The sequence below is a fragment of the Homo sapiens genome, chromosome 1 (assembly GCF_000001405.40).
Source record: "Homo sapiens chromosome 1, GRCh38.p14 Primary Assembly".
Taxonomy (NCBI): Eukaryota; Metazoa; Chordata; class Mammalia; order Primates; family Hominidae; genus Homo; species Homo sapiens.
Window position 1 is genome coordinate 23,126,461 of NC_000001.11, and position 25,752 is coordinate 23,152,212.

The 25,752-nt window shown below is 41.9% G+C and overlaps 1 protein-coding gene across 10 annotated transcripts in view, besides 3 other annotated features; it reads right to left on the bottom strand.

The window, feature by feature from the left end:
* Positions 1 to 25,752, bottom strand: part of LUZP1 (leucine zipper protein 1) — a 94,481-nt gene that overhangs the window by 42,819 nt on the left and 25,910 nt on the right. The window contains exon 2 of one of the 10 annotated variants that reach the window (XM_047429987.1): positions 21,647 to 21,820. The exons of 8 other annotated variants lie outside the window; for them this stretch is intronic. The gene's annotated coding sequence lies outside the window, so the exon portion shown is untranslated. Of the gene's footprint in view, positions 1 to 2,764; positions 4,782 to 21,646; positions 21,821 to 25,752 lie in introns of those variants that run through there. One more of the 10 variants, XM_047429988.1, reaches the window with a different exon arrangement.
* Positions 6,931 to 7,237: a silencer, noted in NCBI's record as "fragment chr1:23459884-23460190 (GRCh37/hg19 assembly coordinates)". NCBI's record gives its function as "represses an EF-1alpha promoter that drives an FKBP-Casp9 reporter gene in an ReSE screen in K562 erythroleukemia cells {active_cell/tissue: K562}" and the evidence as "EXISTENCE:reporter gene assay evidence [ECO:0000049][PMID:32094911]".
* Positions 13,907 to 14,407: an enhancer, noted in NCBI's record as "H3K4me1 hESC enhancer chr1:23466860-23467360 (GRCh37/hg19 assembly coordinates)". NCBI's record gives its function as "activates a minimal SCP1, AML or CMV promoter by ChIP-STARR-seq in naive H9 embryonic stem cells {active_cell/tissue: H9 hESC(naive)}" and the evidence as "EXISTENCE:reporter gene assay evidence [ECO:0000049][PMID:30033119]".
* Positions 14,408 to 14,908: an enhancer, noted in NCBI's record as "H3K4me1 hESC enhancer chr1:23467361-23467861 (GRCh37/hg19 assembly coordinates)". NCBI's record gives its function as "activates a minimal SCP1, AML or CMV promoter by ChIP-STARR-seq in naive H9 embryonic stem cells {active_cell/tissue: H9 hESC(naive)}" and the evidence as "EXISTENCE:reporter gene assay evidence [ECO:0000049][PMID:30033119]".

A 25,752-nucleotide genomic window follows, 5' to 3' on the forward strand; every position in this document is an offset into this window, starting at 1 on the left:
CCTGTTTTACTTCTCTTCATGGTTCTCAGTATTTCCTGAGATTCATTATATTTTATATTTACTTACACTCTCTCTCACTGAATGTAAGCTCTATTAGAAAAGGGGCTTCCCCACCACTACCACTATATTCCTAGAACCCAGAACAGTACCTGGCATATGACAGATGCTCCACAGAAGTTTAAATACGAAGAAGGCACCATTTTAGAAAACAAAATAAGTTCTTAGTCTTACACCCTGTTCAGTTTATTGACCATACTGTCAGCTGTACCTTTCATCCTGGATGGCCATTCTTGCTTTTGATGTTTACAGAATTCAGGAAAGTGAATATAGGTACCAGCCCAGAGAGGCTCTCTGCTACCTGACTTTCACTACTCTATGGTAATGTGCAATTTCTCCCGCAACTGAACTACAACAGAAGTTTAAATGTCTAGCCTACAGATAGATGTTTCCACATGCCTTAAACTCCACAGGAATGAGTTGTCTTTTACTATGTGAGAAGTCAAATGTAATGTTGGCAAATACCAGTGTGAGAGCTACAAGTTTCAACAAAAGCAGCACACTGTATATTGGCAGTCAAAATCACTTCGCTCTATTCTGCATTAGGTCAGCCAAACGCTTCCTGTCAAGACTCAGTAACTCTCACCATACATTTTTGTCTATTCATTGGTCTATGGGCAGTAATGTCTTATAAAGCACACATTACTAAGTGCTTTATATACATCACCCTATTCCTCAAAATAATTCTATAAGAGTTATTATTCTCATTTTAGAGATTACAAAATTGAAGCTCCAAGGCACTTAGCAATTTGCAACTAATAACTAATTAGCAGGGCTGGGATTTGAATTCAGGTCTACCTGACTTTAAATTCTTGGTTTTTTTCACTGTATTAGTTTAATTCTTAAGGCTTCTCCCACCACCTTCCACCCTCTGCACTAAGCCTGGCACACAGAAAACATTTGATATTTACTGAATCCATGAGAGTTAAAAAGGATAATTTAATTCAAACTCAAGGATCTGTCTAGGATCAAATTCTTCAGCTCCAATTTTAGTTTTGTTTTTTGTTTTGTTTTGTTTTGTTTTGAGACGGAGTCTCGCTCTGTGGCCCAGGCTGGAGTGCAGTGGCACAATCTCAGTTCACTGCAAGCTCCGACTCCCGGGTTCACGCCATTCTCCTGCCTCAGCCTCCCAAGTAGCTGGGACTACAAGCGCCCGCCTCCAAGCCCAGCTAATTTTTTGCATTTTTAGTAGAGACGGGGTTTCTCCATGTTAGCCAGGATGGTCTTGATCTCCTGACCTCGTAATCCGCCCACCTCGGCCTCCCAAAATGCTGGAATTACAGGCGTGAGCCACCGCACCAGGCCCAATTTTAGTTTTAAAAAGAAAAAAAGTGGCCGGGCGTGGTGGCTCATGCTTGTAATCCCAGTACTTTGGGAGGCCGAGGCAGGTGGACCAAGAGGTCAGGAGTTCGAGACCAGCCTGACCAACATGGTGAAACCCTGTCTCAACTAAAAATACGAAAATTAGCTGGGTGTGGTGGCACGTGCCTGTAATCCCAGCTACTCGGGAGGCTGAGGCAGGAGAATCGCTTGAACCTGGGAGGCGGAGGTTGCAGTGGGCCGAGATCACGCCGCTGCACTCCAGCCTGGTGACAGAGCGAGACTCTGTCCCAAAAAGAAAAAAAGAAAAAAGAAAAAACTTAAGTTCATTCAACTCCCTTTTAATTTTTAAAAAAGTGGAAAATACAAGTTTCTCAGTTAAAAAAAAAACAAACTGGGTTTATTCCAAAATGGAATCCATCATAACATAATTCATTACTATGGGAATTTGGATATAAAGCAAGTGAAATCATAAAAAGCAGCATAGCTTAGTGTACTAAGACATGGATGTGAAGTAAAATCTGAATTTATTAATAAGTTTCAGCTAAAAGAGATAAATGTACTTGCCTCCCCATCTAACAATCATGCTCTAAAGTTCAAATGTGTTAATGCTTATAAAAACACTTCATAAATGTAAAGTGTTATACAATATTAATTATTAGTGTTAATTGAGCCTTGAAGACAGAATAAAAGCCTCTAAGGCCAGCATTATTAAAACCCCATTATATTTGGAGCATTATAAGGTAAACATCTTAAACTCAAATTAGTTTATCCTTAAGAAAGAAAGGATGTGGCTTACCCATTACTAACCTTTTTATATGTCTAAGTGCTATGTCTCCAATTGGCACTATTAAGTCTCCAATAGCAGAGAACTGGGATACAGACCTCAATATATTGTTTCACTTTTAGAAGGATTATAACCCTGGCCTCATTGTGGGGGAGGGACACTGGGTTCTATAACTAGATAATAATTCCCTCCTTTCATGCTAAGGCACTTATCTATTCAGAACATTAGATGTCAGATCTGTAATACTGATAAAAAATATTCCAGATTATTTCTTCCAGCTATAAAAGCTGTGCTTCTTAGGCGGAGCCAATAAACATTAACAGCATAAGCCTATATATTGATTAGTCTTTCCTAAGCTAAAGAGAAAATAAACAGAAAATATGCAACAATCTTTAAAGGCTATAGCATCACTCCTAATGAATGTCACAAAGTGCATTTATCGATGACATTGCTGAGACTGATATGAAATGATAAAATATTTTTAAAGCCAGTGGATCTGGGTAGATAAGAGACTGTTTAGAAGCTACTGGGATTGTGTGTATGTGGTGGGGCATATTTTAAATAATGATCAAGATAGGACAATCTCATCATTAGACTCACCATTCTCTTATTTTCAGCCCTCAAAAATTAATGACCATTGCCTTATCAAAACCCAGATTATAAAGATGGCAATGAGGCCAGGCGCGGTGGCTCACACCTGTAATCCCAGCACTTTGGGAGGCCAAGGCAGGCAGATCACCTGAGGTCAGGAGTTCGAGACCAGCCTGACCAACATGGAGAAACACTGTCTCTACTAAAAATACAAAATTACCCAGGCGTGGAGGCGCATGCCTGTAATCCCAGCTACTTGGGAGGCTGAGGCAGGAGAATTGCTTGAACCGGGGAGGCGGAGGTTGCGGTGAACCAAGATCATGCCACTGCACTCCACCTTGAGCAATAAGAACAAAAACTCCGTCTCAAAATAAATAAATAAATAAGACAATGAACTTCAGAATCTTGCAACACATTTTAACATGCACATAGCCTTCTTATAATTCAACATTTCCTCCAATCCATCTCGCAACAAAATCCTCCAACTATTCCACTCCTACTAGAGAAACAAATTCCATCCCATCAAATTTTCCTAAGGAAATAAGATCACTTAAAAGATTTTCCTCCCCAGTTCATTCATTTTCTGCATCTGTATCTATATTTATATACGTACCATGTGCCAGAATCACAATGGCATTGTATATCTGCCAGGGCTGAGTTTCAAAGAATACATGTGCACTTAGCAGACAATATTATAAATATTATAAATAAATAAGCAGATTTAGAATACAGGTGACTAACACATAAGTAAGATGTATAAAGGGTTATCCACAATAACTACAGATTAGTCTAAATTCCTTAATGCATCACTCAAAGCCCTGGCAAGCTGGAGGTTATCTTTTTTCCTTCTATGGACAGACTGATCCACTCATTTCCTGAAGACAAATTACTTCATGTTATAACTTTGCCCAGACATTTTCCCTGCCTGGAATACCCTTTCCATCTCATCAAATCTATTCAAGAAATTCAATGCTAATCTCTCTTCAGTGGAACCTTTCCACATTCACTATTTTTTAACTCTACCTTTGTTGATAACCTACTGACATTCGGTATATAAGCATATATTACTATGATAGATGTACTGTTCTTTTATACAGGACATGCATAAACATTTGTGTATGTGTTTATGTCATAATACTCCAAGTAAAACACAAAACTCCTTGAAGGTGCAGAACTGTCATTTCTTTGTATTTTTACCTGTACAATATTATGAATATAATGGTTATTCAATAGAGATCTGTTTAAGAAAAAAATAAAAGAGGGAAAGAGAGGCGGGGTTATCCTTAGGATCCACCAAGTTAACAGTTATCTTTTTTTTTTTTTTTTTTTTTAGAGATGGGGTCTCACTATATAGCCCAGTATGGTCTTGAATTCCTAGGCTCAAGCAATCCTCCCACCTCAGCCTGGCAAAGTGCTGGGATTTCAGGCGTGAACCACCATGCTCAGTCCCCAAATTAATAGTTTCTTGAAATTAAGCCCTTATCAATGGTCTGAATCCTTCCATTGTTTTATGGAGTACTATTTGTATTCATCAATGGTTTCCTATCACTTAAAATAAAACTCTACAGAATCTGGTTATTGCCACCCCTCCTACTTCATCTCCTATCATATTCTACCATTCTCTCTGAGACCTCTCACTCAATGTTCCATATACATACATTGGCCTCCTGGGTCCTCACGTCAGCCAGCTCATTTCCACCTTAAGGTCTTTCTACCTGGGGGTTGGGCACAGTGGCTCACACCTGTAATCCCAGCACTTTGGGAGGCAGAGGTGGGCAGATCACCTGAGGTCAGGAGTTTGAGGCCAGCCTGGGCCAACATGGTGAAACTCCGTCTCTACTAAAAATACAAAAATTAGCCAGGCGTGGTGGCGGGCACCTGTAATCCCAGCTACTTGGGAGGCTGAGACAGGAGAATCGCTTGAACCCGGGAGATGGAGGTTGTAGTGAGCTGAGATCAACCCCACTGCAATCCAGCCCGGGCAACAGAGTGAGACTCCATCTCAAAAAAAAAAAAAAAAAAAAAAAAAAAAGATCTTTCTACTTGGAGCTTCCTCTGCCTTCCCTCAGATCTTCCCATGGCAGCTACTGCCTCCTAATTCAAGTCACAGTTCAAATATCATTCCTCAGAAATGCCTTAGCTGACAATCCTAGCTAAAGCTGCACTCCTCTCACATTACTTCCTAGTATATGAAACTTCTCTTTTTCTCCATCTCAATCTGAAATTATTCTGTTGATATGTTTACTACTTGTCTCTCCCAACTAGTATGTAAACTCCATGAAGAGAAGAATTTTGAGTTCTGTTCACCACTGTACCCCAGTGCCTAGCCTGGAATACTAGCTGGTATGCAGAAGGCAGTCAATAAATATTAATCCAAAAAAAACGAGTTTGTTTCCTCTCACCTAATACTGTAGTTCTCCTCAGGAGCAAGAACATTGTTTCCTGCTCCTATTTATTCATTTATTTATTTTATTTTATTTTATTTTTTGAGATGGAGTCTCACCCTCTCACCCAGGCTGGAGTACAGTGGCGTGATCTCGGCTCACCGCAACCTCCACCTCCTGGGTTCAAGTGATTCTCTTGCCTCAGCCTCCCAAGTAGCTGGGATTACAGGCGCATGCCATCACACCCAGCTAATTTTTGTATTTTTAGTAGAGACGAGGTTTCGCCATGTTGGCCAGGCTAGTCTCGAACTCCTGACCTCAGGTGATTCACCTACCTCGGCCTCCCAAAGTGCTGGGATTACAAGCATGAGCCACTGCGCCCGGCCCACACCTGGCTTATTTTTAATTTTATTTTCATGGAGACAGAGTCCCACTATGTTGCCCAAGCTGGTGTTTCCTACCTTTAATCTCCCACAGCATCTAACAGACTAAATGCACTGAAATCACCAAATAACTGCTCAACAAATGAGGACAGAAATATGGTATTTCCTTTTCTGACACCCCCTCCAGTTACATCTTTAAGTCAACAAATACTCATTAAGTACCTACCATGAGTCAGGCAGTGAGCTAGGCATCATTCTAATTTCTTACTTTTTCAATTTGTCATACTCATCAATGATATTCTGAAAGGTCAAACACCTGGTCATAAGCTAAAGAATCCTTGACACTGCCATCCCCAGTCAATCTCATTTTATTGAACAAAGAAATGCAACTAATTACAGCTACCTGCAGGGCACCATATAAACGTACTAGTTACTGTTTATGTCAGGAGACCACACAGAAAACTTTACTGTCCAATTCTTAATATGCGTCTCTTATCTACTATTGTTCTTCAAGAGAACACTTCTTGTTTAAAAAAAAAAAAAAAACTATAAAAGACATTCCTGAGAAATCTGGAGACATCTGAATATGGGCTGATAAAGAAAAACAATTTTTTAGGTGTGATAATGGTATGGTGGTTACATAGCAGATTATCCTTATTATTTAGGGTGACACATCTGCAGCTTGTCAAATTGTTCAGAAAAAAATTTGTTGTGATATATATAGAGACACAGATACTAACAGCAACTTAAGTATAATAAGGCAAACAGTTGACAATTACTGAATTCCAATGAATAGTCTAATAAGTATTCTATCAACTTTTCTATGTTTTAAATTTTTCATAAGAAGTTGCTGAGAAGAAAATGTTTATTTTAAGAAGATTATTAGGTGCAATTTTCTAGCTATAACTACTTGATGGTCTTTAATACAAGCTTTTACATATAATTAGACCAAAACTGATCCAGAAAATACTACAGGACTCAGAAACTGAACCACTAAAACGCAAGAAATACTGACATAAGAAGTAAGGAACCCAAGGCAAAAACCTGGGCAAAAGCCTAGACTAGGTCCCTTCTTCTTAACCAGCCTTGGGCTCAGAAAAGAAAGACACTCTATTTTGGAAGCCTGCTTCTAGAAAGCACAACACATGAAGACCCAATCTTTCAGCCTTATCCTCCCAAGGAGATAAGTCTATGATGGGAAACTAAACTACAAAATCACAGTGACGATATATACGAACAGATCTTTCTAAGCTCACAAGCATTTTTAAAAATATTATTTAATTATTATTGCTATTATTACTTAGGCAGATATTAAGAACTATAATCACAACCGCCAGTGTAATAATTGATTCAAGCTAAGATTATCAGTGGATGCTAAAACCATTTGGTTGGAAAATAGGATATTTATACTCTCTCAAAGTCACCGTACAGATTTCTCACAAAGGGAAGTAGGGATCCCTACAACGGAAAGATAAAACTTACCATCAACAATGAGACAGACTGGGCGCAGTGGCTCATGCCTGTAATCCCAGCACTCTGGAAGGCCGAGGCGAGTGGATGACTTGAAGTCAGGAGTTTGAGAACAGCCTGGCCAAAATGGTGAAACCCTGTTTCTACTAAAAATACAAAAATTAGCCAGGCATGGTGGCACACACTTGTCATCCCAGCTTCTTGGGAGGCTGAGGCGGGAGGATCACTTGAACCTAGGAGGGGGAGGCTGCAGTGAGCCGAGATCGTGCCACTGCACTTCAGCCTAAGCAACAGAACGAGACTCCATCTCAAAAATAAATAAATAAATAAATAAATAAATAAATAAATAAAGAGATAGACTGACATTATATGACTCCCAGTACAACACAAGGGGAAGTACACAGCAGCATCTATGTAATATTTCTTCCCAAAAATGTCTACCCTGAATCTAAGTACAAGAAAACAATCAGACAAATCCGATTTATGGGACATTATAACTGGCCTGGACTCTTCCAAAGGAGAATGTTATTAAAGATATACACACAAACAAGTTAGAAAGGACTGCTCTAGATCAGGGGTCTGCAAACTGAAGTTTTATAGGAACACAGCAACGCCCATTTGTTTATGAATAATTTATGGCTGTTTTTCCCTCACAAGAGACAAGATGGCCCACAAACCTGAAAATAGTATCTAGCTCTTTACAGAAAAAGTCTGCTGACTCCTACTCTAGATTAAAACAGACACAAGGCCAGGCACCGTGGCTCACACCTGTAGTCCCAACACTCTGGTAGCCCAAGTCAGGAGGATCACTTGAGCCCAGGAGTCTGAGACCAGCCTGGGCAACACAGCAAGACCCCATTTCTATAAAAAATTTTAAAAATTAGCCGGGTGTGGTGGTGCACGTCTGCAGACCCAGCTACTCAGGAGGCTAAAACAGGAGGATCACTTCAGCCCAGGAGATGGAGGCTACAGTGAAGTATGAACACACCACTGCACTCCAGCTTTGGTGAAAAAGTGAGACCCAGTCTCTTAAAAAATAAACAAGGCCAGGTGTGGTGACTTACCCCTGAAATCCCAGCACTTTGGGAGATCGAGGCAGGAGGACTGCTTGAGCCCAGGAGTTTGAGACCAGCCTGGGCAACATGGTGAGACCCTGTCTCTACAAAAAAATTTTTAAAATTAGCCTGGCATGGTGGCGCACGCCTCTGGTCCCAGCTACTTGGGAGAGGCTGAGGTAAGAGAATTGCTTGAGCCCAGGAAGTTAAGGCTGCACTGAGCCATGATCAGGCCACTATACTCCAGCCTGGGGGACGGTGTGAGACCCTGTCTGAAACAAACAAAAATAGCAGTGGAAATTAGTTGCCATGCTTTTTTTTTTCCCAACTTTTAAGTTCAGGGGTACATATGCAGAATGCGCAGGTTGGTTACACAGGTAAATTGTGTGCCACAGCGGTTTGCTGCACAGATCATCCCATCACCCAGGTACTAAGCCCAGCATGCAGTAGCTATTCTTCCTCATGCTCTCCCTCCTCCCACCCCTGCCATGCTTTATTAACCAATGAAAGCTCAATACAAAAACTCAATCCCCTGGAGTATGTTTCAAGAAGAATCTGTGTGACAAGGAACTATCACCAACAAAACAAATACCAATCCACAATTCTTTGTTTGGGGCTAAATGTGTTTTGAAATTCAAAATTTTTCAAACTTTGGAAACTTAAGGACTGGGGCAGCACCCAATAGGCAAACACATTAATATTTCTACAGTTAAATATGTGAATAATCATAATAAAAAGTGAAATAAAGATTATAAATAGCCTGCTTCAATTCAGGTCAGGTTTTGCCAGGAAGCAAATTACTTTATTCATTTTAAATGCATTTTGGCTTTTAGAATTACATACAAAGAACTATGGATTCCTTAGGAATATTCTACACTTGTATTCAAACCATTTAATCAGCCTACACTAGTACCTACTTATGGGGTGGAGTTGGGTAGACTTCAGAGATTTTCCAAGAGAATTGTATTTGTGATTCCAACATAGTTGCATATTCTATTGAAGATTCAGAAAAACCACATTAATATGAACAAGTGGTTAGGAACAGGCATGGTACTGGAATACATCATTTTAATCAGGATTCAAAGCAACCAGAGAGAACACGGGTTGGGATAGTGTAAAAGCACTCACATTGGACCGGAGTTGCTGTACATATATCATAGGTAGCCAATTCAAGAGCTTAGAGATACATGTAACTGTTTAAGGCTGCAAATAGGTCTTTAAAGGAAGAGAATATTATTAAAATTTTAAATTATGCATCAACTTATACCTAAAATATGTAACAAATATATGTTGGTTTTACTTGATGCTATAAATTATTAGGGATCAGAATTTGGAGACAAATTACTATAACCCTTAGTTGAGAAGCTGGTAAATTCTTGATATAACTCCTTAACCAGACTAACTTAGTAACCCATGACAAAGTAGTATACTGGAAATAGTGGTGAACTGAAAGTCCAGGAGACCTCAATTCTCATCTCAATTCTGCTAGTACTTAATTATACAACCTGACCCAGAAACATAGTAGACACCCAGCAAATAGGTTGCTAAATCAATGAGCTTTTTTGTGCCTCTAATTCATCATTTGTGTCACAGAACACTAGATTAAAGAAATTTAAAGGTTTGGTTTAGCTATAAATTCTTAAATAAAAATGCAGGTTTATTCAAATGATTAGAGTTAGTCAGAATTAATAACGACTAATTTTAAAGAAACAGACAGGGCCAGGCGCAGTGGCTCACACCTGTAATCCCAGCACTTTGGGAGGCTGAGGCGGGCAGATTCCGTCTTAAACACACACACACACACACACACACACACACACACACACACACACACAGAGGGTCCTTCATTAAAGAGGAAAAAACAAAAACAATTTTCCAACAAACGTAAAACAGCATTACATAGGTCCTGTAGTAAGAACAAATGAGAGGGAGTATAATCTGATCTATAACATGTGCCCCCCAGGACCTTATCAACTCAAACTTTAGTATTGTGTGACCTTAAAGATTAGTCCAAATCATTCACTTTACAGATGAGAAAACTGACTCTGAAAAAATTACATAATATGCCCAAGGTCATACTCTCTGGCCGCGACAATGACAGGACTAAAACCCAAAGTTCCGACGGGCACGGTGGCTCACGCCTGTAATCCCAGCACTTTGGGAGGCCGAGGCGGGTGGATCACGAGATCAGGAGATCGAGACCATCCTGGCTAACACAGTGAAACCCTGTCTCTACTAAAAATACTAAAAATACAAAAAAGTAGCCGGGCGTGGTGGTGGGTGCCTGTAGTCCCAGCTACTCAGGGAGGCTGAGACGGGAGAATGGCATGAACCCGGGAGGCGGAGCTTGCAGTGAGCCGAGATCGTGCCACTGCACTCCAGCCTGGGCGACAGAGCAAGACTCCATCTCAAAAAAATAAAATAAAAGTTCCCCAGTTCCCAGTTAAATGCTTACTTCCTTTCTTGTAATCAAAGGCTTCTAGAACTGCATAACAACAATGGTGCTATCTGTCATATGGCAATCACTTCAGTCAACATATGCTCTGTCAGAACCTCTAGTTCCACTATATCATCTTTATACATGGCATGGGCAATGAACTCTAGGCAATTAAATAAAAAAACCCACATAGAAAGTATTTCCAAATCCTATATCCAGTAAGAGACGAGTATCCAGAATATACAGAGAGATACAGAGATCTTACGACTCAATAATAAAAAATATCCAACTAAAAATGGGCAAAGGATTTGCACAGGCATTTCTTCAAAGAAGATATACGAATGGCCAATAAGCATATGAAAAGATGCTCAACATCATTAACTGTTAGGAAACTGCAAATCAAAACCAAAGTGAGGCGAGGCATGGTGGCTCACACCTGTAATCCCGGCACTTTGGGAGGCTGAGGCAGGTGGATTACCTGAGGTCAGGAGTTCAAAACCAGCCTGGCCAACATGTCGAAACCCCACCTCCACTAAAAATACAAAAATTAGCCGGGTGTGGTGGTAGGCACCTGTAATCTCTGCTACTCAGGAGGCTGAGGCAGGAGAACTGCTTGAACTCGGAAGGCAGAGGTTGCAATGAGCCAAGATTGCGCCACTGCACTCCAGCCTGGGCGACAAGAGTGAAACTCCATCTCAAAAAAAAAAATGAGATGACACTTCATCCCCACTGGTATGGCTGTAATAAAAAAAAGACAGACAATAACAAGTGTAAGAGAATGCAGAGAAACTGGAACCCTCATAGATTGCTATTGAGAATGTAACATGATACACTGTGAAAAATGTCTGACAGTTTGTCAAAAAGTTAAACATACAGGTACTATATGACCCAGCAATTCTACTCTAGGAATTACATCCCCAAAAATGAAAACTTATGTCCATACCAAAACTTGTAGAAGTATTCATGACAGCCAAAAATTGAAAAATGTCCATCAACTAATAAACAGATAAACAAAATGTATTACTGTTACTATTAATTTATCTTGAGATGGAGTCTTGCTCTGTTGCCCAGGTTGGAGTGCAATGGCACGATCTCAGCTCACTGCAACCTCTACCTCCCAGGTTCAAGCAATTCTCCTGTCTTAGCCTCCCAAGTAGCTGGGATTACAGGTGCATGACATCACGACTGGCTAATTTTTTTTTGTATTTTAGTAGAGATGGGGTTTTACCGTGTTGCCCAGGCTGGTCTCGAACTCCTGAGCTCAGGCAATCCACCCGCCTCAGCTTCCCAAAGAGCTAGGATTACAGGCGTGAGCCACCGCACCCGACCACAAAATGTAGTATTATTATACAATGGGTTATTAGCCTTAAAAAAATAAAACAAAGTACTGATAGATACTACAAAATGTGGATGAACCTGGAAAACACTATAGCAAATGAAAGAAGTCAGATACAAAAGTCTACATATGGTATGATTCCATTTATACAAAATGTCCAGAATAGGCAAATCCATGGAGATAGAAAGTAGATTATGATTGCCAGGGGCTAGAATAGCAGAGAACGGAGAGTGACTGCTAATGAGTATGGGTTTCTTTTGGGGGTGATAAAAATGTTCTGAAATTAAATAATGATGATGGTTGCACAACCCTGTGAATGTATTTTTTTTAAAGCACCGAATTATACACATAAAATGATTTTTATGGTATATGGATTATGTGTTTGTGTGTGTGTGTGTGTGTGTGTGTGTGTGTGTGTATATATATATATATATAAATGAGGCCAGGCACAGTGGCTCACGCCTGTAATCCCAGCACTTTGGGAGACTGAGTTCAGACTGCCTAAGCTCAGGAGTTCGACACCACCCTGGGCAACGGTGAAACCTCGTCTCTGCTAAAAATACAAAAATTAGCCAGGGATGGTGGCACGTGCCTATAGTCCCAGCTACTCGGGAGGCTGAGGCAGGAGAATCGCTTGAACCCGGGAGGTGGAGGTTGCAGTGAGTCAAGATGGCACCACTGTACTTCAGCCTGGGTGACAGAGCAAGACTCCATCTCAAAAAAAAAAAAAAAAAAAAAAATATATATATATATATATATATATATACACACATCATATGTATATTTTGTATATATAATGTGTGTGTATATATATAGATTATATATAGATATAGATTTTTTTTTTCCACACACACACAGACACCAAAGCGTACTTCCCACTCATTTCCCATTCATGCCCTCTCTGGTTGGAAAAAGTAAAATGCCAACACAAGGTGAAAGCATCAAGGTCTCAATTCAGTATCTATTGAGCAAGGCATGTACTATAAAGTGGGAATACAGAGATAGTCTGATCTTATGATATTCAGTTTATTATAAATAAAGTACGCAAATAATTACAACACAATGTGTTAAGTGCAACAACAGATGTACAAAGGGCAGAAGGAGGTATAGGTGACCCTTGAACAACATGGGTTTGAACTGCACAGGTCCATTTACAGATGGATTTTCTTCTACCTTCACTACCCCAAGACAGCAAGACCAAGCCTTCCTCTCCCTCCTCAGCCTACTCAATGTGAAGATGACAAGGAAGACCTTTATGATGATCCTCTTCCACTTAATGGATAGTAAATATATTTTCTCCTGCTTATGATTTTTGTAACAATTTCTTTAGCTTAATTTATTATAAGAGTACAAGTATATAATACATACAACACAGAAAATATGTGGGTCTAATATAGTGGTTCACACCTGGAATTCCAACACTTTGAGAGGCTGAAGCAAGAGGATTGCTTGAGGCCAGGAGTTCGAGACCAGCCCTGGCAACATAGCAAGACCTCGTCTCTACAGTGAAATTTTAAAAATTAGCTGGGCTTGGTGGCACGTACCTATAGACCCAACTACTTAGGAGGCTGAGGTGGGAGGATCACTTGAGCCTGGGAGGCTGAGACTGCTGTAAGCTGTGCTCATGCCACTGTATACCAGTCTGGAGGGCAGAGCAAAATTCTGTCTCAAGAAAAAAAAAAAAAATGTGTTAACTGTTTATGTTATTGGTCAACAGGAGGCCATTAAGTTTTGGAGAAGTCAAAGGTTACACTCAGGCCTTGGAGAGAGTAAGGGCTGGGTGTATTTTCAAGTTGAGGGACCACCCTACTACTACCCCCACATCATGGTGTTTCCTCCAGGAGTCCAAGAGCCTTGCCATTCCTCTTGGTGCTTCCTTCAGGAGTTGAAGGGCCTGGCTATTCTTCTCACTCCTGTAGTAGCACCTATCCAGACTCTCTGCTGTTTTCTGACTTAGGGCAACTACAACCATGGCTGACAAATGGTAGCTACTCACATGGGTGGAAGAAAGGGTACTACACATATTACACATATGTAATACACATATTACACTTACACCAAGCTCCTGGCCATCTCTTGTGGCTTCAAGCAGAACCCCAAGCAGTTCATGATCACCTGGATCTTGCAGATGCACAACCAGTGGGCCACGCCCTGTCCTTGAACTCCTGGGAGCTGGTGGTGCTAATGGGCAACTTGACTCACAATGCCATCTTCAACTACCACTGCAATGCCTTGTGGGAAAGTGGCATGGCACTGCTTGCCTGGCTGCTCAGAGCCTGGTGCCAGCGCTAAAAGTCCTTCCTGCCCTTTGAGGCCACCGAGCTGCCTTTCTAGCCCTGGACCACCAAGGAGGAGGGCATCCAGCTGGTGTGCAAGACAGGCATGCTCGACTGGATCTACTGTGAGCCCCTCTCGGCCTCCTTGGACCCCTTGTCCCCCTCACATGAGCCAGTGGCACCCAAGGACATGCCCTTCACTCAGGGCCTACAGCAGTGTCTGCTGCTGGCAACACCTGCTGCTGGCAGCACCCTCAGAGCTACATCTCTCCCTGGTCACTCTGCTAGAGGCCATGATGGAGCTCAGACCATCTCCAACGTTGGCCTGCTCTGGCATCAGAGCCAGTCACGCCACACCAGGCTCATGCTGGAGCCCAATCCAATGCTCAAGCACCTCACAGGCTGGCTCCTTAGCCACAGTGTGCCCAGGGAGAAGGTGGATAAAGAGCTCACCAAGGTCCTCCTGGAGCTGTACGGCAAAGAGGCCAAGTACAACCACAGCTACCTGGTCTGTGGGCTGGGAGACGAACAGTCCCTACCACCCCTCTACTCTGACCAGGCCAGCAGGTTGGAGCCACCCATGCGTGACAACTAGCCCTCAGCCTGGCTCTTGGAGAACGGGACACGGCCTGGCCCCACATTCCTGGAAGGTGGGGGAAAGGAGGAAGGCTAGATTTCAGGAAACCTGCTTTCTGCTTTGAGTTCAGGGGAGCCAGGCAAGGGAGCCTGGGACCTTGTAGGGGAGACAAAAAGCCTTGGGCAGTGCCCTCCCAGTGTATCCCTTGAGCCTCCTGTGGGCAAGCCACACCCTCATGCCATGTTCAAGGGACCCAAGAAGACAGGTGTGTCCTTGCCCTCAACCACTCACATGGGTATCACTGGTCAGAGCTGATGAGGGGAGCAAGCCACATCAGTGGCCAATTGCAATGAGTCTCTGGTGTCCCTGGAGGGAGTGAGAGCACCCAAGGACATAGTATTCAGTGTGTTACATTTTGGCCTGGGCAGCAAGGTGGGTGGGCACAGCGGTGCAGCCACCCCTCTGCCACATGGGCCACCAAAGCACTACAGGCCAAGCAGGGAGATCTCATGGTCCATAACATAAAATCATCTTGAAGTTTTTACTCTAATTTTTGTGTTTTTTTGGAAACAGGGTCCCAATGTCCCCCAGGCTAGAGAGCAGGGGCAAGATCATAGTTCACTGGAGCCTTGACCTCCTGGGCTCAAGCGATCCTCTCACCTCAGCCTCCCAGGCAGCTGGGACCACAGGCATACACCACAATGCCCAGCTAATTTTTTTTTTTTTTTTGAGACAGTTTTGCTTTTGTTGCCCAGGCTGGAGTGCAATGGCGCCATCTCCGGCTCACTGCAACCTCCGCCTCCCGGGTTCAAGCAATTCTCCTGCCTCAGCCTCCCATGTAGCTGGGATTACAGGCATGTGCCACCACACCTGGCTAATTTTGTATTTTTTTAGTAGAGACAGGGTTTCTCCATGTTGGTCAGAGTGGTCTTGAACTCCCAACCTCAGGTGACCCACCCGCCTCAGCCTCCCAAAGTGCTGGGATTACAGGCATGAGCCACCGCATCCGGCAAAAGCCCAGCTAATTTTTAAAAATACTTTGTAGAAACAGGATCTTGCTACATTGCCCAGGCTGGTCTCGTACTCCTGGACTCAAGTAATCCTCCTGCCTTAGACTCCCAAAGTGCTGGGATTACAGGCATAAACCACCACACCTAGCCTACTCTAAATTTTCAAAGGTCTTTTTAATGCATTATTTTTAGTTAATATTTTATTTTGTGGATACATGACACTTTAATTTTGGTGACAGTCATTTCTCTTTTTGTAATGGTTCTTCTCTTAAGGCAATGTTTTTCTTTTTGGCATTGCCTCCCACTTTGAAAGCACATTTTTGCTGTTTGATCACTGAGGAAGGAGCTGCCAGTCCCTTCTGATGAGTCTGGTTTCTCCAGGGGCATATGTGGCCTCGGGATAATCTGAGTTCTGAATCGGACTTTAGGGTATGATGGGGCCAGAATTACACATTACAGCTTGCGAGAACAGAGCCCTGGTGGTCTGGCTTCATACCTGAGGTGCTGGGCACACAGGCATCCAATAAATGGTGGGTGCATAAAATATATATATATATACACACACACACACACACACACACACACACACACACACACACACACACACAGATTTTTGACAGCACCAGAGGGTTGGCACCCCTAACTCCCACATTGTTCAAGAGTCAACTGCAACTTACTATGGATCAGGGAAGGTCTCACAGAAGAGAAGATACCTAAAGGTAGATTTTAAAGAATGAATAGGCCAGGCACGGTGGCTCATACCTATAATCCTGGCACTTTGGGAGGCTGAGGCAGCAGGAGGATCGCTTGAGCTCAGGAGTTTGAAACCAGCCTGGGCTACATGGTAAGACTTCGTCTCTATTTTTTTTTTCTTTTTTGTTTTTTGATAGAGTCTTACTCTCTTGTCCGGGGTGGAGTGCAGTGGCATGATCTCCACTCAGTGCAACCTCCATCTCCTGGGTTCGAGCAATTCCCCTGCCTCAGCCTCCAGGGTAGCTGGGATTTCAGGTACCTGCCACCAAGCCCAGCTAATTTTTGTATTTTTAGTAGAGACGGGGTTTCACCACATTGGCCAGGCTGGTCTCTAACTCCTTACCTCGTGATCCACCTGCCTAAGCCTCCCAAAGTGCTGGGATTACAGGCATGAGCCACCGTACCTGGTCGATGGTAAAATTTAAGCTGACTCTTTTAAAATGAGTAGAATCTATGTATAAAAAAGAAAAATGACTAGATTTTCAGATATACTAAGGAAATAATAAATAGTGGGCAAAATACAACTGGAAATGCACATACTTAGTTTGGCACAGCCAGAGTAACCCAGATTGCTGAAGCGGCACTGACTAGTTACTGGTGATGGTATGACTTTAGTAGAAACACTGTCTATAGTGTTTTAGTTGCTTCAGTTGTTTTTTGCACATATTCTTACCATAAACATCCCTCTAGGATTGTTATGCTGGATAAAACCTTTGCGCCAGGCTAACTGTTTACCATCCTTATTTCATTTTTACAACAAATCTGAGATAAGTATTAATATCCCAATTTTAACTAGAAACTCAACTTCAGAAAGGTTCATAACAGTTCACAGTAATACATCCCAGCATTCTGTTAGGTGTTACAAATTTATTATCTCATTTAACTCTTCAAACAACCCTAAGAACTAGGTATTGCTGGTACTTCTGTTTTACAGATGAGAAAACTGAGGTTCAGGGAGGTTATGCAATTTGCTCAGGGTCACAGTGGTCTTAAGAGGCAGAACTGAGAATTAAAATTCAGGACTGCCTTATCCTAAAGCTCTCTTCCATTACAGTATAATGCTTTATCTACCTTCAATCATAACTCAGTCTAATCCAATATGCTTTGATTGTTATACTCTCTGCATTTCCAGTAACTAATATGGTAGTAGCCTCTTGCAAGGACAGGTACAATACACATTTGCTGAAGACAGTGCTTTTACGTATTAAATATAAGGGAAGGCTACAGCCAGAGAAATGCTAGCCAAGAGAAGCCCCAACACAAGGTGACTTCTCAAAGACTCTTCTTTTCAGGTTTTTCCAAAGGATATGGAAGAGTCTCCAATGCTATATCTTTTCATCGAAGAGATGGAAAGAGTACATCTGACCAAGATCTGGTTACAGCAATGCAGAGATCTTGCAGTACATACTGCAGCAAAATCAGGTGCTGACAGCTGAGAGATATCAAGTGGCATAAGGCTGTAAGAAGGGAAAAAAGCCCTAGAAATACTTAGATTCCAAAAATGTCTCTAAACGACTGCAAGAAACTGACACACAACAAAAGAGTGGGATTCTATTAAATCCATTTAAGAGTTAAATTGGTGAAACAACTCACATAACACCAACAGATCATACTGGTAGCTCAGGTCTCCTCTCATTTTACCTTTTTTCACATAAAAAGGTAAGCTGTCTTCCCAGTTCCTGGCAGATGTGATATCCTTCAAATATGGTTTCTCAGCTTCCCAGATGGCTAGGCTAGACTAGGACATAAGAAATATGCAGTAACATGCTCCCCACCTCCCATCTAACAGCAGGAAGAGAATAAAAAACCAAAAGAAGAAAGGAGTAGCCAGCAATGATCTCTTCTCTCATTCCAAATACCACAGGTTAGTCCTGCTTATATAAGAGAGGTAACTATTAGAACACATCCCAAGCCTTTTTATTTTTCTCTTTCAGGTTGGGGTTAAGGAATGTTTTAAATTGTATTTCTTTTCATTTTGGTGGGGGTTTTGGGGGGATTTTTTGGTTGTTTTTTCTTTGCTCTGTCTTGCTCTGTTGCCCAGGCTGCAATGCAGTGGTGGCATGATCACAGCTCACTGCAGCCTCAACCTCCCAGACTCAAGTGATCTTCCCACCTCAGCCTCCCAAGTAACTGCGACCACAGGCACATGTCACCACGCCCAGCTAATTTTTTGTATTTTGTGTGTTTGTAAAGACAGGGTTTCACCATGTTGCCCAGGCTGGTCTCAAATTTCTGGGCTCAAGGGATCCTCCTGCCTCAGCCTCCCAAAGTGCTGGGCTTACAGGTGAGCCACTATGCCCAGCCTATTTCTTTTAATTTTGTTCTGGTGTGCTTAAATAAGTTTCTTCATGGATTTCTTTGTAAAACAAGACTTACTATAACAGACTCTAGACCCTACCTCTCTCATAGGAACGCTATTTGAAGGAAATGTTAAAGTACTTGAAAAACTTAAAAGCATAACACAATAATAATAGGTAATATTTATTGTGTTTGTTTTGTGTCATTTAAAGCCCTTTGCGTGAACTAACGTATTATCTCACAACAACCCTATGAGGCAGATACTATTAATCTCTTTTTTTTTTTTTTTTTTGAGACGGAGTCTTACTCTTGTTGCCCAGGCTGGAGTGCAATGGCGCAATCTCAGCTCACTGCAACCTCCGCCTCCTGAGTTCAAGTGTTTCTCCTGTCTCAGCCTCCTGAGTAGGTGGGATTACACGTGCATGCCACCACGCCTGGCTAATTTTTGTATTTTTAGTAGAGACAGGGTTTCATCGTTATTGGTCAGGCTGGTCTCGAACTCCTGACCTCAGATGATCCACCCGCCTCAGCCTCCCAAAGTGCTGGGGGATTACCGGCGTGAGCCACTGCAGCTGGCCAACCTCATTTTTAAGATGAGTAAACTGAGGCCCAGAAAAACAGAGTTCCTTTCCCTAGTTTACACAAATATTATATGGTAGAGCTGGAATTCAAACTCAATTCATTTGAGTCAATAAATTTGAGTATATATTACTCAAATATACTTATGTAATGAAAATTATGTTAGAATATTACTACACATGGATTAAGGAAGCAAACACAATAACCTAGTAAAACATTCAACAAATAATTTGAATTCTTTGTCCTCACCATCGTAACACCACCATCTTTTTTTTCAAGACAGAGTCTCCCTCTGTCACCAGGCTGGAGTGCAGTGGTGCGATCTCGGCTCACTGCAACCTCCACCTCCTGGGTTCAAGCGATTCTGCTGCCTCAGCTTCTCGAGTAGCTGGGACTACAGGCACATGCTAATTTTTGTATTTTTAGTAGAGACGGGGTTTCACCATGTTGGCCAGGATGGTCTCGATCTCTTGACCTCATGATCTGCCTGCCTCAGACACCCAAAATGCTGGGATTACAGGCGTGAGCCACCACGCCCAGCCCATGCACCATTATCTTTATGCATTCTGAGATTAACATGTAACAGATAAATTTATGCGGAACATAGGCTCTGGAGTCACACAAACCTAGTCACATGACGTCACTTAATAGCCGTATGGACAAGTTACTTAACTGCGTCTCAGTGTCCTCATGTGTAAAATAGGGATAATACCTATCACACAGAATTTAAGAACTAAATGGGACCCCCATGCGGTGCCTCACACCTGCAATGCCAGCACTTTGGGAGGCCAAGGTGGGAGGATCACTTGAACCCAGGAGTTTGAGATCAGCCTGGGCAACATGGCAAAACCCCATCTCTATCAAAACAATACAAAAATTAGGTGTAGTGGTGTGCGCCTACAGTCCCAGCTACTTGGGCGGTAGAGGTGGCAGGATCACCTGAGCCCGGGAAGATCAAGGCTGCAGTGAGCAGTGATCACACCACTGTACTCCAGCCTTGGTGACAGAATGAGACTCTGTCTCCAAAAAAATAATAATAATAGGCTGGGCGCGATGGCTCACGCCTGTAATCCCAGCACTTTGGGAGGCCGAGGCAGGCGGATCACGAGGTCAGGAGCTCAAGACCATCCTGGCTAACATGGTGAAACCCCATCTCTACTAAAAATACAAAAAATTAGCCAGGTGTGGTGGCGGGCAGCTGTAGTCCCAACTACTCGGGAGGCTGAGGCAGGAGAATGGCGTGAGCCCGGGAGGCGGAGGTTGCAGTGAGCCGAGATCGCGCCACCGCACTCCAGCCTGGGTGACAGAGTGAGACTCCGTCTCAAAAATAATAATAATAATAATAATAATAATAACTACATGGGCTTTAAGAAATGCTTAATGCTGGCCTGGCACGGTGGCTCATGCCTGTAATCCCAGCACTTTGGGAGGCCGAGACGGGTGGATCACTTTAGGTCAGGGGTTCCAGAGCAGCCTAACCAACATAGTGAAACCCCATCTCTACTAAAAATACAAAAATTAGCAAGGCATGGTGGTGGGAGCCTGTAATCCCAGCTACTCGGGAGGCTGAGGTAGGAGAATCACTTGAACTCAGGAGGCAGAAGTTGCAGTGAGCCGAGATCGCACCACTGCACTTCAGCCTGGGGTGACAGAGCAAGACTCTATCTCAAAAAAAAAAAAAAGAAAAAGAAATGCTTAATGCTTTAAGAAAGTTGGCCAAAGCCAGGTGCTCACACCTGTAAACCAAGCAAGCACTTTGGAAGACTGAGGTGGAAGGATCACTTGAGGCCAGGAGTTTGAAACCAGCCTGGGCAACATAGTAAGACCCAGTCTCTACCCAAAAAAAAAAAAAAAAAAAAAAAAATTAAATGGATTATATACTCATCCCAGAATAGTTGTTGGCACATAGTAAGTGCTAAGCAAACACCATTAGCTACTACTGTTAATATTTTTATTTCATTTTTCTTTGCCATTTTCCATGTAAACAAGTATCTAAAAAATGTTTGTCTCAAAGCTATCAAGTAATCTTGAAATGGGCATATGTTTTACATTTCACATTTCAGTGTCTCCATACTTTGGTAATATTTTCCAGTAAATTTATAATCCATGTAACTAATATTGCTGCCTATGCAAGCATCTCTTCTACCATTTTGAACTTAAGAAATACAAGAATACAATAGCTACATTGTGTTTCTTATGTGTAGTGATAATACTGCAAACCCTTATCTCTTAATATAAACTGCCACATTTCTAATTACATGAGAGTCACTCTGTATGGCTTTTCATCAAATGCCCCAAATTAAAATAGGTAGTGTCTTCTTAAAATTACTTACTTTTTCATTTGACAAATCTCAGACCCAAAAGGTAAAGGGACTTGTGACTTGCTCAAGTTCATATAGGTAGATAATGATAAAGACCGACCCGGAACCTTCAGACTGAGTTCAAAGCTCTTTTTCATCTCTCTGGGCTGAATAATTCCATTTCTTGTCAGGGGAGGTGATAAACATCTGAAAATAGTGAATGACTCAAATCTCCCAAGGTTAAAAAAAAATTTCAAGAAGACAATCTTCAAAGGTCATTTAATGTAGCACAACAAAACAACAACGACCAAAGTGGCATAACTCAGTACTGTTTCCTTCTCAAAAAATCAGGTCATCTCGAAAATTTGCTTTACTAAATTTGTATTAGCCTAACACAAATCTCATGCTACTTCTTCCCAGCTATCTCTGCAACTTTCTGAAACTGGGCAACTTCAGCTCAAAATTCAATGACAAACTCCAGGGAACTGTCACAGTGCAATGTTATAGGAAATATTCCTGAAAATAAGTGGTGCTTGTGAATTCTATTCTACTGAGATTCTCAGTGTAATTATTTTTCTGTGACAGAATCTGATTTGTTTCATGAAACCATGCTAAAATAAAAAAGAACACAAAAATGTTCTCATTTAGGACACTAATTGATATAAAATTTCCCAAAAATTTTGGAGCAGTTCAAATCTAACAAGCATTTACCAAAGGATTTAATCCATATCATTCTTTCAAAAAGTCTGGCCTATAATCCCAATGCTTTGGGAAGCCACGGTGAGAAGACCACTTGATCCCAGGAGTTCAAGACCAGCCTAGGAAACACAGACCAATCTCTACCAAAAATGTTTAAAATTAGCCAGGTGTGGTGGCACATGCGTATGGTCCTAGCTACTCAAGAGGCAGAGGTTGGAGGATCACTTGAGCCTGGGAGGTCGAGGCTGCAGTGAGCCATGATGGCAACACTGTATTCCAGCCCAGGTGACAGAGTGACACCTTGCCTAAAAAAAAAAAAAAAAAAAAAAAAAAATTAAATTAAAAAATAAAAATTAAGAAAGTCCACTCTGAAAACAACATAAGACTTTTTACTTGTTATAGATTTAACCAGAGTCAAGACCAGAAGTGACCAATCCATTTTACACACGAGCCACAGCAGGACTGAGGAGAGAGGAAGAGAAAACAGGAAGACTAGCAAGTCAAATCAATTATTTACTTAAAAGTCCACAGAGTACAGAGCACTATAAGATGTACAGTGCCAACATGCTCCACCCTTTCTCTGCTAGTCAGTACAGGCCACAAGATGAACACCAGAGTCCAACAACCAGCCAAATGCCAGGCAAAATGGCCTTATCAGGCTAGATGGGGTCAAACACATATATTTTTAACTTATAGTCAAAGAGGCTCAAGGAAGATGATCAACAACTTAAATATTGCAGCGATATTAAGGAAAACAAGGCTAGGAAAATGTCTGAATATACAGACATTGGGTCTTTTGAATGTGCATTTACAGTAGTGTTGGGGACAGAAACAAGACAGGAAAAGTCTTAAAAAGTGAGTGAGTGTAAAAGCAAAAGCTGCATACAAAATGCCATTTTAAAAATGTTTAGAAGTAAAAGGGCCGGGCGTGGTGGTTCACGCCTATAATCCCAGCACTTTGGGAGCGGATCACGAGGTCACGAGATCGAGATCAGCCTGACCAACATGGTGAAACCCCGTCTCTACTGAAAATACAAAAATTAGCTGGGTGTGGTGGCACGCGCCTGTAATCCCAGCTACTCGGGAGGCTGAGGCAGGAGAATTGCTTGAACCCGGGAAGCGGAGGTTGCAGTGAGCCAAGATTGCGCCACTGCACTCCAGCCTGGTGACGGAGCCAGACTCCGTCTCAAAAAAAAAAAAAAAAAAAAAAAAGTTTAGAAGTAAAAGAAGAAAAAGATGGCAATAATTCAAAAAGCTGAAAAGGCAGAAAATTTTTATTTGTTTTAGGATAGACAAGACCTCTGTATTTGTAGTCTGAAAAGAAAGACTCAATAGCGAAGGTGAAGATGGAAGAGAGAAAGATAACTGATGAGAGTGAGGTACTGGATACTAGAGAATGCAATGAAGAAGAAAACTGATCCATGTGGATCCTGGAAGTCATCAGACAAAAGCAAATAAAGCAATGGGACAAAAGACAAAAAGCAATAAAAATGGGGAGAGAACAGATGGTAAGGACTTTTTGAAAAATCAGAAGCTGTGCAAAAATGGCAAAACAATGGTCTAGAGGGACAGTGAATGACTAGAACTACAATGATTGCTCCCCTCGTCCAAGGAGTTGCAGAGTATTCAACCAATGAAAACAGAAATAATAGCATTCATTACAGAAAAAGCCGTGTTTTCACTTATGGGTTAGGAGATGGAAGAAATATTGGAAGAAAAAAAATTAAGAACTTAGGACTTTGCTCACATTTGTGCACAGGTTCTACCAGACCCAGCAGAAACAGGTAGTAAAGGGACATCAAGAATGAGGTAGAAAAGAATGGGACTGAGCTTTTAAAATACTGAGGCAATAAGGCAGACGGAACTTTGAGATAACTTTTTACCAACAGTGAAGATGAAGAAGAGTAATCTAAAGAACTTTATGGCTGCAGAGGATGAGGGGAATGAAGACAAACATATCAAAAAACTGCTGGATACCACAGACAACAAGTCTTCAGCACTAACTAGCCCTAATTTTCAAGTGGAATCATCTCCAAAACCCACTTTCCCAGAAGCTGGACCTGAAATATCCTTTAATTTCATTTGCCAAGACTAGCAAGTTGCTGAACTGTGTCAACAGTTTGTTTGTGTTTGTTTTTCGAATTGGACATTTGTTTTTAATAACGATTTGTTGTGTTCTACAAAGGCATAGGAGGGACATTCCCCAAAAGATAAATGAATGCCACATGACTAGAACTGGGTCTTCTATTTTTATGATTTAGAACTGGGTTTTTTGTTTGTTTATTTTTTTAGGCAGAGTCTCGCTCTGTCGCCCAGGCTGGAGTGCAATGGTGCAATCTCGGCTCACTGCAATCCCCTGCCTCCCAGGTTCAAGCGATTCTCCCACCTCAACCTCCCAAGTAGCTGGGATTAAAGGCACCCGCCATCATGCCTGGTTAATTTTTGTATTTTTGTAGAAATGTGGTTCCACCATGTTGGCCAGGCTGGTCTTGAACTCCTGATCTCAGGTGATCCGCCTGCCTCGGCCTCCCAAAGTGCTGGGATTACAGACATGAGCCACCGCACCCAGCCATAACTGGGTCTTCTAAGCCCCCTTTGCATGCTCAGACAGGATGGAAAAGGATAGATAACACCAGTTAATATTTAGTTAGCACTTCACTGATTCAAATTACTATCTAATCAATTAGCTCAACTGACCCACTCTTTATTCCTGTTCTTATGGTGCGTAATCCAAGGATAGAGGAGCAGAAAGAACATGGACTTTAAAGTCACTGACCTAGAATTCTAACTCTCCCGGTTCCCCCAGGGATATTTCTTAAACCTCTATGAGCTTCCATTTCCTCACCTGTAAAGTAGGAATAACAGTACCTATTTCATGAGGCAGTTGTAAAGATTAAAGTGTAAGTCAAGTACCTACTACACAGTAGATGCTTAAGAAATGGTAGATAATGGCCAGGTGCAGTGGCTCACGCCTGTAATCCCTGCACTTGGGAGGCCAGGGCGGGTGGATCACAAGGTCAGGAGTTCAAGACCAGCCTGGCCAATATGGTGAAACCCCATCTCTAATAAAGATATAAAAATTAGCTGGGCATGGTAGCACATACCTGTAGTCCCAGCTGCTCGGGAGGCTGAGGCAGGAGAATCGCTTGAACCCAGGAGGCGGAGGTTGCAGTGAGCCAAGATCACGCCACTGCACTCCAACCTGGGCAAAAAAGCAAGACTCAGTCTCCAAAAAAAAAAAAAAAGAAAAGAAATGGTAGATAATATACTCCACATGTTGCAATGAAAAGAAATGGAAGACCATTTTAACTAATGTCATTATAAACTAAACCATCCAAGCTGAACCACAATTTATTGGTTACTGTTGTTAATACACACAGGGCAAATTATGTTAAAAAAATCATAAAATAACAAATGTTTTCCAAAAAGTCCTCTCTATC